The sequence below is a fragment of the Homo sapiens genome, chromosome 2, assembly GCF_000001405.40.
Source record: "Homo sapiens chromosome 2, GRCh38.p14 Primary Assembly".
NCBI lineage: Eukaryota > Metazoa > Chordata > Mammalia > Primates > Hominidae > Homo > Homo sapiens.
In genome coordinates, this window is record NC_000002.12 from 26,366,706 (window position 1) to 26,384,422 (window position 17,717).

The window sequence follows — 17,717 nt, forward strand, 5'->3', positions numbered from 1 at the left end:
TATCTATACCCAAATCAAAAGGTCTTTTGTTTAGCTAATTAATAGTATAGGAAAGGATAAGGTGAAGGCTCAATACAAGTTTGTAATACAGTCATAAACAAGAATTAGATTAAATGCAATTAATTTCTAAATTCCAAAAATATATTATTTTTCATTGTAGGCGCATGAAAATTATTTATTTTCAAGTAAAGGTGAACACTCAGTCTTGAGTTACGATAAAAGCTCAAAATAACTGCTTACTGTTTGTGACAGGCTGGGATGTTGCTTTTTTGGTTTTATCAGTTTCCTGGTATTATTTACGTAATTCTGGATTCAAAATATATTGTAAAGTACTTTAACTTCTAATGAACAAATAGCGACACTTCTCACTGTCAGTATATGCTATGGTAAGAACTACTGTACTTAAACTGTATTAAAATCTTAGTTGCTTTCCTTTTCAGCACCAGGTCACAAGCACGTGCCTGACTGGGTTTGGATTGTAGTGGGCATCCTCAACTTCGTAGCCTACACTCTAGGTAAGGAATTGGTAAATACTTACTATAGTCAGTGACTGGTGAATCAGCAAGGATAGCCACGTATTAAAATAACATTTTCTCCTGTGCTTAATTCATTTTAACTAGAGTTTATTAGTATCCTGTTCAAATTGATAAATATGTTTTTGAGTTTCTTTACAAAAAATTTTGTCATTCATTGCCAGGGATTCACAGAATAAGATAAGAGTTGGTAAACTACTACTTGTGGGCCAAATTTGGTGTGTAGCCTATTTTTGTTAGTAGAGTTTTACTGGCACACATCTATGCTTATTCCTTTATATATTGTCTATGGCTGTTTTCCTGCTATAAAGACACAGTTGAATAGTTGCAACAAAGACTGTATGGCCTGCAAAGCCTAAAATATTTATCATGCGGCCTTTAAAAAATATTTACCAACCTCTGGAATAAGACATCATTTTTCTTAAGTTTGGGAAGCAATACTGTCATATGTAATAATTAAAAAATAGTATGATAGAACACAGTGGGAAAACAAATAAGGAAGTGATCAATTCTTTTTTGGTACAGGGAGCGGTCAGGGAGTGGGCAGGGAGGCCTACTGTGCTAGACCATGCTGTCTGTCCTGCCAAGAATGCTTTTCATTAGGATTATCCACATGGCTTGTCCTGCATTCTTCTCTCCTTCCCTGCTTTATTTTTCTCCATAGCACTTAAAACCATGTAACATGTTATCTATTTACTTGCCTGCTTGTTTGTTATCTCTCTTTTCTAACTAAAACGTTAAGTTTTGTGAAAGTGAGTACTGCGTTGTTCACTACTGTATCCCCAGTATCGTAGACACTCGGTACATAGTTTTTAAATACATGTAAAATAGCAGACCCTGACTTCAAGTTGCTTAGATCTCTTCAGATAAAAGTGACTTGTTCTCATAAAACCAGCATAACCTGCTACATGATTAAATGCTGATATGGTAGATGTCATGCTGACCAGAGCTGCAAGAGTTTGGAGAAGGAAGAAATCAGTGACGTCTAGAAGAATTAAGGGAAAGCTTAGTTAAAAGCTACATATTTAGGCAGAGGTTTTTGCACATTTGTTATTAAAGATGAGCAGGTCTTTAAGTGCTGCTGAAGGATTTGGTTGCCAAGGACTGCTGAGAGGAATAGGGAAAAGTTGAGAGTGGCTGTGAGCTCTGACTTTTGACAACACGCCGTAAGATCCTTTTGATGTACCATCTACTTGTTCTAGGCCCACAGTTTTCTGGCAAAAACCCTGGTCTGACATGAACTATTTGTTGCAAACCAGTCTTGAACGAACATGAAGCAGTTTATAATCTTTATTCTACCTAGTGTGACTATTCATGACATTTTGCTGCAGAAATACTAAGATGTTTGATCACAGGATGCTGCTCTATGTCCTACTGGGGAGTCTCTGATAATATATGATATATGCCCTGAATTACCTTTTTAAGAAAAAAAAATTCTAAAGCATATCTGGACCTCAGACTTGTGGAGATGGAATGGGTGTAGTGAGAAAATGTATAAAACCTAATTAATACATAGTTATGAATTTAGTATTGTAATAACTGTATAGGAGTTACATTGAAAATGGGAAATTGTTAAGCCAGTAAATAATGAGAAAAGACTTTCTGGGAATATTTTAGCTACTTCAGGGCAAAAACTTTCCCAACCCTGTATAACAGAAATCTGTAGTATTTGGATAGGGAGTTTGGGATTCATCTTTTCATATAGTCTTCAACAATATATTATGCCACAGACTGATCTAGGCACTGGGGAATGTACTTTGGTGAGCAAGATTAACCGTAATTATAGGAGTTAATTCCTTAATCTGAATTTTTTCAGTTAGCCTAATTCTAATGCACTAGTTAACAAAACTGTTTCTTTTGGGGGAAAAATTGTACAGTTCAGTGAGACAGGCTGTCTCTAACAGGCTCTTCTGTTTCTGCCTGTAAAATGAAGGTATTCTACTGTGCTTTATCCTAAACTCTGGCTTTCTCCTCATTCCCTTGGTAATGGTGATTCTCACTCTACAGTCTTAGTTAAGATTCTCATGTTTATATCTAGCCCTGATCTGTGTTCTGAGTTCCTAATAAGTACCCTTGGATTGAGTTCCTTGACATTACCATGTGGATATCTCACTAACATTTCAATTTCAGTATCTAAAATTGTACTCTGCATCTTGTCTGTCACTCTTGCTGCTTATTCTGACTTCTTTTTTTCTATTAACACTACCACTATCTTCGTTACCCAGAATAGAAACTGGAGATTCTCTTCTTGTCCTTAGGCCTTATCCCTCATCTTTTGCGGCATTTTATCATTTTTATTTCCTCCATCTCACCTACCACCAGTTTCTCATTCCTACTGCATTTCATCTCAGGCCTACTAATTAGTGTCCCTCTCTCCAGCCTGTCATTCATACCGTCAGGTGCCTCTTCCTGAAACATTGCTTTCATTCTTGTGATTTCTCTATTCAGATACCTTTAGTAACTCCCCATATTCCCTACAACTTTTAAACTGGCTCAAACCTCCTTTTTGACCTTTTTATATACTTCACTCTTAACATGCTAGTCTCTAGTCAAACTAAGGTTCTTGGCATTTTCTGAACATGCATTGTGCTTTTCCACCCTGGTGTGTTTTGCTGATAGCATTCCCTCCTCTTTTTTTTATTGATCATTCTTGGGTGTTTCTCACAGAGGGGGATTTGGCAGGGTCATAGAACAATAGTGGAGGGAAGGTCAGCAGATAAACAAGTGAACAAAGGTCTCTGGTTTTCCTAGGCAGAGGACCCTGTGGCCTTCCGCAGCGTTTGTGTCCCTGGGTACTTGAGATTAGGGAGTGGTGATGACTCTTAATGAGCATGCTGCCTTCAAGCATCTGTTTAACAAAGCACATCTTGCACCGCCCTTAATCCATTTAACTCTGAGTGGACACAGCACATGTTTCAGAGAGCACAGGGTTGGGGGTAAGGTCACAGATCAACAGGATCCCAAGGCAGAAGAATTTTTCTAAGTACAGAACAAAATGAAAAGTCTCCCATGTCTACCTCTTTCTACACAGACACGGCAACCATCCGATTTCTCAATCTTTTCCCCACCTTTCCCCCCTTTCTATTCCACAAAGCCGCCATTGTCATCCTGGCCCGTTCTCAATGAGCTGTTGGGCACACCTCCCAGACGGGGTGGTGGCCGGGCAGAGGGGCTCCTCACTTCCCAGTAGGGGCGGCTGGGCAGAGGCACCCCTCACCTCCCGGACGGGGCGGCTGGCTGGGCGGGGGGCTGACCCCCCCACCTCCCTCCCAGACGGGGCGGCTGGCCGGGCAGAGGGGCTCCTCACGTCCCAGTAGGGGCCACCGGGCAGAGGCGCCCCTCACCTCCCGGACGGGGCGGCTGGCTGGGCGGGGGCTGACCCCCCCACCTCCCTCCCAGACGGGGCGGCTGGCCGGGCAGAGGGGCTCCTCACGTCCCAGTAGGGGCCACCGGGCAGAGGCGCCCCTCACCTCCCGGACGGGGCGGCTGGCCGGGCGGGGGGCTGACCCCCCCACCTCCCTCCCGGACGGGGCGGCTGGCCGGGCAGAGGGGCTCCTCACCTCCCGGACGGGGCGGCTGGCCGGGCGGGGGGCTGACACCCCCACCTCCCTCCCGGACGGGGCGGCTGGCCAGGCGGGGGGCTGACACCCCCACCTCCCTCCCGGACGGGGCGGCTGGCCGGGCGGGGGGCTGACCCCCCCACCTCCCTCCCGGATGGGGCGGCTGGCCGGGCGGGGGGCTGACCCCCCCACCTCCCTCCCGGACAGGGCGGCTGGCCAGGCAGAGGGGCTCCTCACTTCCCAGTAGGGGCGGCCGGGCAGAGGCGCCCCTCACCTCCCGGACGGGGCGGCTGGCCGGGCCAGGGGCTGACCCCCCCACCTCCCTCCCGGACGGGGCGGCTGGGCTGGCGGGGGGCTGACCCCTCCCACCTCCCTCCCGGACGGGGTGGCTGCCGGGCGGAGATGCTCCTCACTTCCCAGACGGGGTGGCTGCCAGGCGGAGAGGCTCCTCACTTCTCAGACGGGGTGGCCGGGCAGAGACGCTCCTCACCTCCCAGACGGGGTGGCGGCCGGGCAGAGGCGCTCCTCACATCCCAGACGGGGCGGCGGGGCAGAGGCGCTCCCCACATCCCAGACGATGGGCAGCCGGGCAGAGACGCTCCTCACTTCCTAGATGTGATGGCGGCCGGGAAGAGGCGCTCCTCACTTCCCAGATGGGGTGGCGGCCGGGCAGAGGCTGCAATCTTGGCACTTTGGGAGGCCAAGGCAGGCGGCTGGGAGGTGGAGGTTGTAGCGAGCCGAGATCACGCCACTGCACTCCAGCCTGGGCGCCATTGAGCACTGAGTGAACCAGACTCCGTCTGCAATCCCGGCACCTCGGGAGGCCGAGGCTGGCGGATCACTCGCGGTTAGGAGCTGGAGACCAGCCCGGCCAACACAGCGAAACCCCGTCTCCACCAAAAAAATACGAAAACCAGTCAGGCGTGGCGGCGTGCGCCTGCAATTGCAGGCACTCCGCAGGCTGAGGCAGGAGAATCAGGCAGGGAGATTGCAGTGAGCCGAGATGGCAGCAGTATAGTCCAGCTTCGGCTCGGCATGAGAGGGAGACCATGGGGAGAGGGAAACCATGGGGAGAGGGAGACCATGGGGAGAGGGAGAGGGAGAGGGAGAGGGAGCGCATTCCCTCCTCTTGAAATGACATACTTCTTTATCTCTTATCAGCTGAAATCCAACTCATTCTTTATGTCCTCTACTCAGATTTCACTTGCCTGAAAAGCCATTCTAGATTATCTTAGCCTAAAGAGAACCTTTCCCTTATCTGTACTCTTTTATGGTTTGTGATATACCATACCTTTATTATCATGTTTTGTTCCTTTCTCTTTTTAATTTTTGAGACAGAGTTTCGCTCTTGTTGCCCAGGCTGGAGTGCAATGGTGTGATCTCAGCTCACTGCAACCTCCGCCTCCTGGGTTCAAGCGATTCTCCTGCCTCAGCCTCCCGAGTAGCTGGGATTACAGGTGTGCACCATCCCCGGCTAAGTTTTTGTATTTTTAGTAGAGACAGGGTTTGGCCATGTTGGCCAGGCTGGTCTTGGACTCCTAACCTCAGGGGATCCTCCTGCCTTGGCCTCCGAAAGTGCTGGGATCATAGGCGTGAGCCACCACACCCGGCCTGTTCCTTTCTCAATTGTAAATTCTCTGAGGGCACAGTTTATTCTAAGATTCTTCCAATCCTTATAGCACCAAGAATAGTGCATTAGTTTCAGTAAATTCAATTCTTATATTTGCTGAATATCCACTGTGTGCATTTTCTGAAAGCATTTAAAATTATGGAGGCAGTAGGTCTATAAAGAAGTGATTATGATTTCAAACAGGATAGAATAGATGTTGTGACTGAAGTACTTTTGGATCCTAGAGCAAGGAGGGGTGAGATAAGTTGTGATGAATTACTATGGCATGTTCGCTGGAAGCTTGAGAATTTGTAGCTAGTGAAACAACCCAATTGTTCCATAGATTTGGAGGTATTCAGACTCCAACTAAAATGCTACTTTCTCAGATCTAAAATTGACACCATTCAGTGTAATATGACATTTTGATTTTTAGATTAAACTTTGAAGAATTATATATTTTATTTCTGAAATCTTTGTTTTTTGTTTAAAATTTTTTTTAGAGGCAGGATCTCGCTCTGTTGCCCAGACTGGAATGCAGTGGCATGATCATAGCTCACTGCAGGTTCAAACTCCTGGGCTCAAACAATCTTCCCACCTCAGCCTCCTGAGTAGCAGGAACTACAGGTGCGCACCACCATGCGTGGCTAATTTTTAAATTTTTTGTAAAGACAGAGTTTTGCTATGTTGCCCAGGCTGGTCTCAAACTTGTGGGCTCAAGTGATCCTCCTGCCTTGGCCTCCCAAAGTGTGGGGATTACAGGTGTGAGACACTGTGCCTGGCCCTAAACTCTTTGAAGTGTAGAATTAAATAATTAGATTTTTATAGTACCAGCTGATAGCTATACTTAACATTCCTGTGATAAGCTGATTTGTTTTGTTTTTTCCTCCAGTTTATTAAAGAAGACTTTCTCCATCCTGGTGCATACGTTGAACTTTTCCTGTGGTTTGTTTTTGTTGCAGATGGTGTGGACGGAAAGCAAGCTCGCAGAACCAATTCTAGCACTCCCTTAGGGGAGCTTTTTGATCATGGCCTGGATAGTTGGTCATGTGTTTACTTTGTTGTGACTGTTTATTCCATCTTTGGAAGAGGATCAACTGGTGTCAGTGTTTTTGTTCTTTATCTCCTGCTATGGGTAGTTTTGTTTTCTTTCATCCTGTCCCACTGGGAAAAGTATAACACAGGGATTCTTTTCCTGCCATGGGGATATGACATTAGCCAGGTGGTAAGTATGTGTTCTACCTTAAATTTTCAGTATTACCATGATACTTTTGGAAAGCTTTTGTCATTGCTTATTTATTGCTCTTAGGCTTTTTTGATTAGAATTGATATGTACTTAAAAATTTTTTATTTTTATTTATGGAAAATTTCAAAAATAGAATAGTATAGTGAATAGTAAAGTAGAGAGAATATTTAGGAAAAAGTAGAGAGAATAGACCCTAATGTACCCATTGCTGAGGCTGAGGCCTCCCGAGTAGCTGAGATTACAGGTGCCCACTATCACGCCTGGCTAATTTTTATATTTTTAGTAGAGACAGGGTTTCACTATGTTGGCTGGGCTGGTCTCTAACTCCTGACCTCAAGTGATCTTCCTGCCTTGGCTTCCCGAAGTGTTAGGATTACAGGCATGAGCCACCGTGCTCGACCCTTCTCAATTATTTTAAAGGAAATTTCTGATATTATATGATAAATACTTCGCTATATATCTCTAAATGATAAAAGCTTCCTTTAAAAAAACAATCACAATGCCAGTATTACACCAAAAATTTAACCATTTCTTAATGTTATTGCATGTTCATTTGAACTCTTGATTTTGGAAAGAAAGATATGCACATATAATTGAATGGTTGGCTTTTTGTGTTCATTGCCACCTTTTCAGTGTGTAGAGAGATTTCTTTTTTCTTACTTTAATGGCCTTGCTATTAACTCTCCCTGCCTTGAATCCCAGCTTTTTGTGTTGCCATTTTGCCCATTTGCACCTAAGTCTCCAGTAAAGAAATCAGAAGTTGGAGTGTTTGTTGAAGTGGTTGGGTGGGTAAATTTGGATCATCTTACAACTTAACCAATTTATGAGTTGCTGTTAAAGTGCTCCAAATGATGGCCAGTTGCTTGCATTGTCTACAAGTTAGTTATTTTATAGCATTGTTGGCTAAAAGATTGTATTTTTTTTTTTTTTTTTTTGAGACAGAATTTCGCTATTGTTGCCCAGGCTGGAGTGCAATGGTGTGATCTCGGCTCACCGCAACCTCTGCCTCCTGGGTTCAGGCGATTCTTCCGCCTCAGCCTCCCAAGTAGCTGGGATTACAGGCATGCGCCACCACGCCTGGCTAATTTTGTATTTTTAGTAGAGATGGGGTTTCTCCATGTTGGTCAGGCTGGTCTGGAACTCCTGACACCTCAGGTGATCTGCCCGTCTTGGCCTCCCAGAGTGCTGGGATTACAGGCATGAGCCCCCACGTCCAGCCAAAAGATTGTATTTTTAAAGGTAAGAAGACTTGCCACATACCAAATATAAGCATACTTCTTGCCTTTACTAAAACTGTTTGACTTGACTTAATGCTGCATAAAGCATGGTGACTCCTGATCTTTCTAGCGTTAATGCTTCTGTATGCTTTTGTCTGCATTTTCCTTCCAGACTATTTCTTTTGTCTACATAGTGACTGCAGTTGTGGGAGTTGAGGCCTGGTATGAACCTTTCCTGTTTAATTTCTTATATAGAGACCTATTCACTGCAATGATTATTGGTAAGAAGCTCCATGTTGAAGCCTGTTTTAACCATCACTTTGTTATCAAAAGAGCCGGTATTTGACTATAACAAGCAACAACACCCTTTGCCTCACAAAACCTCCAGGAAGCAGAACAACCCTACAACCTTGTAGGATTTCAGCCTAACCATTAAGAAAAATAAGGTTTCCCTGTTTTTGGGGTTTTTTTGTTCAGCATCAGCTATTTCTAATCAGAGGGAAATACCAAAATAGATCACATAAGCCTGATAAAGTGACTATTCAAATTAACCTAGGCTGTATTGGAGGGTCCACATTTGGTACAGGTTTTATATTTATCTCAAAGTTGAAAATTACTAGTTTGTATGAAATACAGGACAGATGAAATGTAGAGATTATTTTATAATGTATCCACTCAAAAAATTAAGCTTCTATTCCTCTCAGATATCCTCTTTCTTAACCCACTGATTGCTAAAGATTTTTTATGGTGGTAATCTTTCTGTTTTGATTTTAGCTGAAGGGGATATCTGTAGGATGATTGACTGAGTGGAGAGGGTATTAGTGGTATGGAACGAGTGTAAAGAGAAATCTAGATGGTTATTTAGGGGCCCCAGGAGTGGCACTGAGAACCTTTGTAGAAGTAAAAAGGTATATGTGTGGGCTATGTCCTGTATTCTGTTCTCTTATCTAAAAAATAGGCCACACACAGTGGCTCATGCCTGTAATCCCAGCACTTTGGGAGGCCAAAGTGGGAGAATCTCTTGAGCCCAGGGGTTTGAGACCAGCTTGGGCAACATAGTGAAACCCTGTCTCTAGAAAAAACTAAAGTTAATCAGGTGTGGTGCGTGCACCTGTAATGCTAGCTACCTGAGAGGCTGAGGTCAGAGGATTACCGGAGCCCAGTGAGCTATGATCGCATGTGCCACTGCACTCCAGCCTGGGTGACAGAGCGAGACCCTGTCTCAAAAAAAAAAAAAAAAAAGAATAAATAAAAAATAACCCTTTCCCATTTGGTGAACCTTGGTAATGGAATGGGAATTAGGTAAGGCTTAGAAACTGTTTAGAAGATGGTATATTAGGCACTGGCTTTCAGAAAAGGAGTGGTTTGGGCTTTTTTCTGTAGCTCTAGACTGTGCATATTTTAGGAACTATCTTGAAATCTATCAAATGTTCATTTTTGATACCTGTATAAACTGTTTTTTCTTTACCTCAAAAATGCTATTTTTCTTCTCCAATTATGTAGTGACCCTTTTGATTGTCCCATGGCAGGTTTCCTGCATGTTACATTTAAGTGTTAAATTTAGATAAGACAGAATCCTCTGGTATATGAGACATATTTTTTAATGTTAAGTGTGTACTCTAATAGGCACATAATTTTCTTTATAATGTTTCTACTTTTATATAATAAACCCCTGTGTACTATTACCCAGTCTCAACTATTTTCAATACCAGTGCCAATCTTGTTTGAAATGCACCAGTACTCTTTAGCCCCCTGCTTAGCCCCCGGGTTGTGTTATAATATACAGTTTATTTACTTACTGACATATTTGCCTTATATTTGACCTACCATGTGGTGTTCTTTCCCAGAAGTTTGAAGGACTTCCTTTAGGTTTTTTTATAGTGCAGGTCTGGTAGCAGTTTATTCTCTCTTTTTACTTACGTGAAAGTGTATTGATTTTGCCTGAATTTTTTCTTTTGGCATTTTGAATATATCATTTTAATGTCTTTTGACATCCATTGTTTCTGAGTCAGCTCATATATCATTGTCACTCTGTAATGTATTATTTTTCTCTTGTTGCTTTCAAGGTTCTCTTTTTATCTTTGGCTTTCGGAAGTTTGACTGTGATGTACCTAGGTGTGGTTTTCTTTGTGTTTGTCTTTCTTGGTATTTGTTGAGCTGTTGACTCTGTTGGACCTGTAAGTATTTTTGACTGAATGTGTGAAGTTTTCAGTCACAGTTTCACTTCTTGAGATATTTTTTCTTCCCCTCTCTCTTCTTTTCTGGGACCCCACTTACATGTGTGTTACACAGGTTTGCCTGATACTGTCCTAAAAGTAATTTTCTATGGCTTTATTAAGTTTTCTTTAATCTCTTTATTCTTTGTAGTGGATAACTTTTATTCATCTGTCTTTAAATTCATTGCTTTTTTTTTCTTCTGCCATCTCCAATATGCTGTTGAGCCCATCTAGGAAGTCTTTCATTTAAGTTATTGTACTTTTCCCTGGGTGCGGTGGCTCACACCTGTAGTCCCAGCACTTTGAGAGGCTGAGGTGGGAGGATTGCTTGAGGCCAGGAAGTCAAGACCAGCCTGGGTAACATAGTGGGATCACGTCTCTACAAAAAAATAGAAAAATTAAGCCAAATATGGTGGTGCATGCCTGTAGTCCCAGTTACTTGGGAGGCTGAGGCAGGAGGATCACTTGAGCCCAGGAAGTCGAGGCTGCAGTGAGCTGTAATTGTGCCACTGTACTCCAGCCTGGGCAACAGAGTCAGACCCTGTCTCAAAAAAAAAAAAGTTATTGTACTTTTCAGCTGTAGAATTTCCATTTGGTTTTTAAACTTTCTATTTCTCTGTTGAGATTCTTCTGTTCATTATTATCATCATATTTTCCTTTAGTTCTTTGAACATATTTAAAATTGCTGCTTTAAAGTCTGTCTACTGAGTCCAACATCTGGGCCCACTTAAGAGTCATTTTCTGTTGACTGCTTTTTTTTCTATTTCTTTGCATACCTAGCAATTTTTTTTTTGTTGTTGTTGAAAACTGGATATTATAGATTATATTTGTGGAGACTATAATCTGTTCTGCTCTGAGGATTTTTGGTTTTTTGTTCTGATAGGCATTTAACTTGTTTGGACACAGATGAAGAAATTTGTCCCATCACATTGTATTAAGTAGCTCTTGTCTCTGTTTGGTTATTTTCAGCTTTTAGCTGCTGCTTTTTTAGCCAGGTCTCTTGGGGGTCTCCTTTGTGTCTGTGTAGTTTAGTGGTCAGCCAAAGATTTGGGCAAAGTCGATACTGAGATTTTGGCGCTCACCTCTCTATGATTTTTTTGCTTTTGGGGTTTCCCCATCTGAATCTTCGGCTGCTCTTCCAGCAATTGTGTTCTGCCCCCAACCCTCAAGCCAGTAAGGGCTCTGCCTTCTTCAGCCCAGTCTGAGTGTGGGTTGGGAACACACTTAGTAAGAGATACAGCAGACTCACATCTCACCAAGAACACCTCTGTCTTTCAAGCACAGCATCTCCTCTACTTTCTGCCTTCTCTTTCACTATGTTCTGTGGGGTCTCCGATTTGCTTGCTTAGTTTAGCATCCACCCAGGAATCTGGGCAGAGCATATACTCAGATTTAGAATCTCAACCCTTCTGCATCTCTCTCTTCTACAATATCCCCCACCCTGCTTTCTAGTTCCTCTGCTGCTCTGAATCTATTATCTGCTTCCATAAGCTGGTAAGGAAGACTGTGGCTTTCCATCATCTGGTCTGGGACAGGGGGTAGGCAAGCCACGAACTCAGAGTTGTTCCCCAGTGTTTCAAGTGTAAATGCTTCTCGAATTTCTGTCTGTCCTTCAGTATTTTCTAGTACCTTCAAGTAGTTGTTTTAAATATTTTTGTCTGGTTTTTAATCATCATTTGTGAGAAGAATTGTCCTCCCTTTTTATGCCATCATTAACAGATGCCTTCCTTCCTTTAGATTATTTTAAAGCAAATCCCAGATATCATTTCTTTTCATCCGTAAATATTTCACTGTGTATCTCTAAATGATAAGGTTTTCTGTAAAAGAACCACAATTGATGTATTTCTATAGCTGCCGAGTACCTATACATTGCCTTTGGTTGGTATGCCTTTTAAATTTCTGTTAATCTGGCTGGGTGCTGTGGCTCACACCTATAATACCAGAACTTTAGGAGGCCAAGACAGGCTGATCATCTGAGGGCAGGAGTTTGAGACCAGCCTGGCCAATGTGGTCTCTACTAAAAATACAAAATTAGCCGGGTGTGGTGGCGTATGCCTGTAATCCCAGCTACTCGGGAGGCTGAGGCAGGAGAATCGCTTGAACCTGGGAGGTGGAGGTTGCAGTGAGTCAAGATTGCACCATTGCCAGCCTGGGTGAGAAGAGCGCAACTCTGTCTCTAAAATAAATAACTAATTAAAAAATTTCTTTTAATCTACGTAGCTTTTCCCTATTTTTTCTTTGAAGTTTATGTATTGAAGAAAGTAGGTCATTTGGCCAATAGAATTCTTAGATTCTGCGTTTTCCTGGTTGCGGTCTCATGGCATTAACATGTTCCTCTGCCCCTCACTTTTCCTATAAACAATAGTTAGATCTGTGAGCTTATTTTGATACAGGTTTAATTTTGGGGGTTGGGGGGCATGCTGGGGAACAGTGTTATTAGGTACTGGTCTTCCTATTGCATCACATTAGGAGGCATGTAGCGGGTTCAGGTTTTGTATGTCTGTTCCATCTGCTGCAAGTATATATATATATATATTTTAACCTGCTACCTTAAACTATTAAGGGTTAAACTTCACCTAATAATATTAACAGACATTGATTAACATGGCTTAGGAATTCATTCATTCAGTGGATAGGTAAGGAAATCAAGTTTTTATGATAAAATACTTCATAAATACATACTGATAATTCCAAAGCAAATTTGGTAGTACAGAATTTTTACTTAACCTCATTGATCTTATATTTTTATCTCCTTTAAACTATGACAAAATCCTTGGTTTTAAGTGACACAGAATACTCATTTGCTTTATTCCATGAACTATTCACAACAGTCTCCGAATACAGTACCTAAATCAGCAAACAGAGGAAAACTGAAAATTAAGATTTTGTTTTTTTGCAGTTTTATTCATCCTTACGTCTTATCCCACTAGGTGTGTCCCGTCAGTTTACTGTATTTTAAAGTCACCACTCTGTGGTTATGCCACCAGTTGTGGATTTATACATCTAGGTTTATTTGTTTTACTTTAAGAATTACTTTCTCTTTTAAAATTCATTTTTCCTTTATAATTATGTAAAATATTTGTGATAAAGTCAAATTTACAGAATGAGGTATATTCAAAGAAGTCTAGCTTCTGTTGTTACCCAATCCTTTCTTTCCTCAGAGGTAACCATTCTTAGTTTTTAATTTTATGGCTTATCTTTTCATTGTTTCTTTCTTACTATAAGTAAATATTTGTGTTTCATTTTATCACTCACTTTCATAGATACATGGTAGCATTCCATTCTATATGTACTGTACTATGTACTGTGCCTTTTTTCCTCCCCCCTCTTAATTGTATATCCCAGCGATCACTCCACAGTGGTCTATAAGGAGCCTCCTCAGTCCTCTTACAGCTGCCTGGCACTTCATTGTGTGGATGTACCGTAGTGTGTCCAACCATCCCCCTATCAATAGACATTTGGGTTAGTTCCAGTTTTTGCTGTTGTACAAATTGCTGCAGTGAATAGTCTTGTACATCAGTCTTTTCATATTTTTTGCCAGGGTGTTGAGGAAGAGGTCCCTAGAAGTAGAATTGCTAGTAGAGGACAAATGTGTGCTGTTTTGCTTAAAATTACCATATTCCCCTACATATGGGTTGTGTGATTTTCTGTTCCTACCAGCAGTGTATGAAAGTGCTTGTTAATTTACAGTTTTACCAACATAGTATATTGTCAAACGTTTGACTTTTTGCCAATCTGATAGGTAAGAAATGATGTGTCTGTACAGTTTTAATTTGCCTTTCTCTTACTATGAATGAGCTTTTCTAGTGTTTAAGAGCCGTTTGTATGTCCTTTTCTGCATATTTTACATCTCTCAAACAGATTTTTTTTTCTATAGGGTTGTTGGCCATTTCCTTTATTTTTAGAAGCTATTCATATATTAGGTATATTAATCCTTTGATATAGATTATAGTTTTCCCCATTATTGTTTCTCTTTTTAACTTTTCTTAAGGTACTTTTTGTCTTGGTGGTTTTAACTGAAGTGTACCTACTTAATAAATAAACTGGAAATGTGAGGAATGAAAATATTTTTTATGACCATGCTATCCTTGGATTGTATCTCCTTCAGTTTGGTCTTTTTTTTTTTTTTTTTTTTTTTTTTTTTTTACAAATTCTACTCCAATTTTTCTCTAGCTGTTAAGTTTCCTATATTATGAAGTCTGGGCCTTCACTTGTGCAAGATGAAAAGCGGGTCTACATATATATGGTCTCTATCACTGTTCTCTACTTGAAACATAGAGCTTCATAGATAAGTATTTAACAATTAAGTACTCGTTTCAGAAAGTACATTAAGTACTATAAAGAAGAAACAGAAGATGCAGCGTTTCTCTTTGGCAGCCTGTATAGAGCTCCGGCTTTCTACATGCTCACTATACTTGAGATAGTTATTTCAAGATTTTTAAAACTAAAATTACTCTTGGTGGCAAATCTTTTGCTAGTTTGTCTCAGCCTATTTCCAACACCTCAGAGCTACAAGTAATTCTGCATTAATTCATTTAGCCTTGGCTCCCCTTTGGTGCTTCCCAGCTTGACGTGGAGTAAGCTGCTAAAAATTTCTGAGAACACTGAGGACCTCAGGTGGTCTTCTCCTTCCTTTCCCTCTAAGTTCGTCTAATTTGGGGAACTTTGTTCTACTTGGGCTTGGAAGTAGCAGAGTAATTCTTTTTAGAGATAAGATTTCTGTTGGGTTCTAGTCTTCTGTTTTAAGCCAGATGTCTTAGGAATTGTTTAGAAGGAATGTTTTCTGCCTTTAATCTTTAAGGCCATAGCTGCATTGACCCTCAAACCAAGTAGAGTCACCAGGTGTCTGGAAGAGACAAACTGGGGCTAATATGTTGCATGACAATGGAACATCCAAATGAAGTGCCCAGCAGCTTGCCAGATATATTGATTTGGAGTTTGAGAGAGAAAATAATTAGGAACTTATATCACTATAGATCATAGGATCAAAGAATTTTAAAGATGTAAGGGACACTAGAAAATAGTTCAACCCATCCCCATTGTACAACTGGAATCTGAAGTTCAGATTATTAGAGTTTGTCCAAGAGTCCATAATTAGATATTGCAGTCATCTGTTGTAAGCTTGTAGTTGTGCTTTAAGAGGGATTCTGAGAGAGAGAGAGTATAAGTACGGTGGGGCACCCAGGTAGTAATATGCAGGAAGTAGAATTGGCAACAAAGGACACAGAATGAAATGGTGAGATGGCTAGCGGAAACATAGGGAGAATGGCATCACAAAGGCAAAGGGAGGAAAGAATTTCAGTTTAGTGGATAGTCAACCAAGGCATTTCACTTAGCAGTCAGGAATGAAAAAACGATACTGAATTTGAACATTAGGAAAGCTTGGTAAATTTCAAGAGTATAATTTCTGCAAAGTTGGAACACAGTGAATAAAAAAGTGCTAAGAAATTGAGGACAATTGAAAAGTTTAGCAAATGATAAGACAAAGCAGAAGATAGTAGATAGTGAGGACAGCAGAATCAATAGGAGGGTTTCTTGGGAAGGCCATCTTTGTTTTAAAGTTTATGGGGAGAGAACCAGTGTGCGAATGGAAGTAGCTAGGGGGAGAAACTGAAAATGCTAGGAAGACTGGGTGTGGTGGCTCATGCTTGTAGTCTCAGCTGCTCAGAAGCCTGACGTAGGAGAATTGCTTGACCCAGTAGTTCGTGACCAGCCTGGAATATAGCCAGACCCTGTTTCCATAAAAAAAAAAAAGCTAGGAAGGTAAAAAATAAATGTGAAGCAACAGGATTCCCCCTTTGAGTAGCTCATGCTTACTGTGCAGTTTCAGTACCCCATACTGTTCTAGGTATCTTAACATGTCATAACTCATTCACTTCTCAAAGCTCTGTGGGGTTGGTACAACTATTATCTCTATTTTATAAATAAGGAAACTGAGGCAGTAAAACACCAATTTGCCTGAAGTCCCGTAATCAGTTCATGGTACAACTGAAATTGAGGCCCAGCTGGCTTTTTGAGTCTGCCCTCTGAATCACCAAATTGTACTGCCACTCTTCCTGTTGTAAATGTTGTTTATAAATGTATTTAATTTTATTACACAAGTAAACTTGAACCTGAAATTTTTGGGGTCTAAAAAAATTTGTTTTGCATGATTCAGTGGTAATGTAATAATTGCTCTTGAATAAGCATAATAATTGAATAATTATTCCCTTTAGGTTGTGCATTATGTGTGACTCTTCCAATGAGTTTATTAAACTTTTTCAGGTAAGTATTTTATTTTTTAAATGGGCAAGAAATATGAAAAGTTTTAGCAGTTGTTAGCTGAACTTAGGGATCTATTTTCCTTTTGGAGTCAGGACATTTTGAAAAGGTCACAAAACCTATATTTTAAATCTTTAATGGGGTAGGATAGTTTAGGGTGTCGATGGTGGCTAATGTAGTCATTTCAAACACAGCACAAAACTACTAGTTCTTTTGTTACGGTTTTGGACTCATCAAATAGTCTTCTAATGAGGCCAGGCGCGGTGGCTCACACCTGTAATCCCAACACTTTGGGAGGCCGAGGTGGGCGGATCACGAGGTCAGGTTCGAGACCAGCCTGACCAACATGGTGAAACCCGTCTCTACTAAAAATAAAAAAATTAGCTGTGTGTGGTGGCACATGCCTGTAATGCTAGCTACTCAGGAGGCTGAGGCAGGAGAATTGCTTGAACCTGGGAGGCGGAGGTTGCAGTGAGTCGAGATCGCGCCACTGCACTCCAGCCTTGGCAACAGAGCGAGACTCTGTCTCAAAAAAAAAAAATTTTAGCAAGATCATAAAAATTCTGAATGTGTGTAGTTTAGGACCAAACTGGACCTGTGCTGACTTTTCTTAAATAGCCCTTATATAGAAGTTCCTGTCTGGGTTGCGGGGAGAAGGGAGATGCTCAGGTGGAGTTTCATTTCTCTGATCTATGTGCTTCTCCACTTTTGCTCAGCCACACTGAATTTGCCTATTGTGTCCTGAATATATTTTGCTCTTTCCCTTCTTAGTAATTTTACTCCCACTGCTTCCTTTGCTCCTTTTTCTTCTGGTTGAAACATTTTCTTACACTTCCCACTTCATCCTTTAGCTCTCAAATCTGCGTAGCAGAATCTTATTTATGTTAAACCAAGCGCTATTAATCTTCTTCATTTATTTGAGCTGGCAGTTATTTATAGAAGCCATACAGTTTAAAGCTCTGAAGGATGTAGAGATTATTTCTCTACATTTTCTTCTCATTTTATAACAACGAGGCTCTCATTGGGCAACATATTGCCCGAGGTCGTGTGATCAATGGCGGAAGCAGGACTGGAATTT

The 17,717-nt window shown here is 41.5% G+C and overlaps 1 protein-coding gene across 2 annotated transcripts in view; it reads left to right on the plus strand.

Moving 5' to 3' along the window:
- The window catches only part of SELENOI (selenoprotein I), a 49,743-nt gene that overhangs the window by 20,563 nt on the left and 11,463 nt on the right, over nt 1-17,717 (plus strand). For both annotated transcript variants that reach the window (NR_137633.2, NM_033505.4), the window contains exons 4-7: nt 441-515; nt 6,662-6,924; nt 8,335-8,443; nt 16,594-16,642. Coding sequence is in view for 1 of the 2 variants with exons in the window: in NM_033505.4 (NP_277040.1) it covers nt 441-515; nt 6,662-6,924; nt 8,335-8,443; nt 16,594-16,642 (496 nt within the window). In the remaining variant the exon portion in view is untranslated. The remainder of the gene's footprint in view (nt 1-440; nt 516-6,661; nt 6,925-8,334; nt 8,444-16,593; nt 16,643-17,717) is intronic.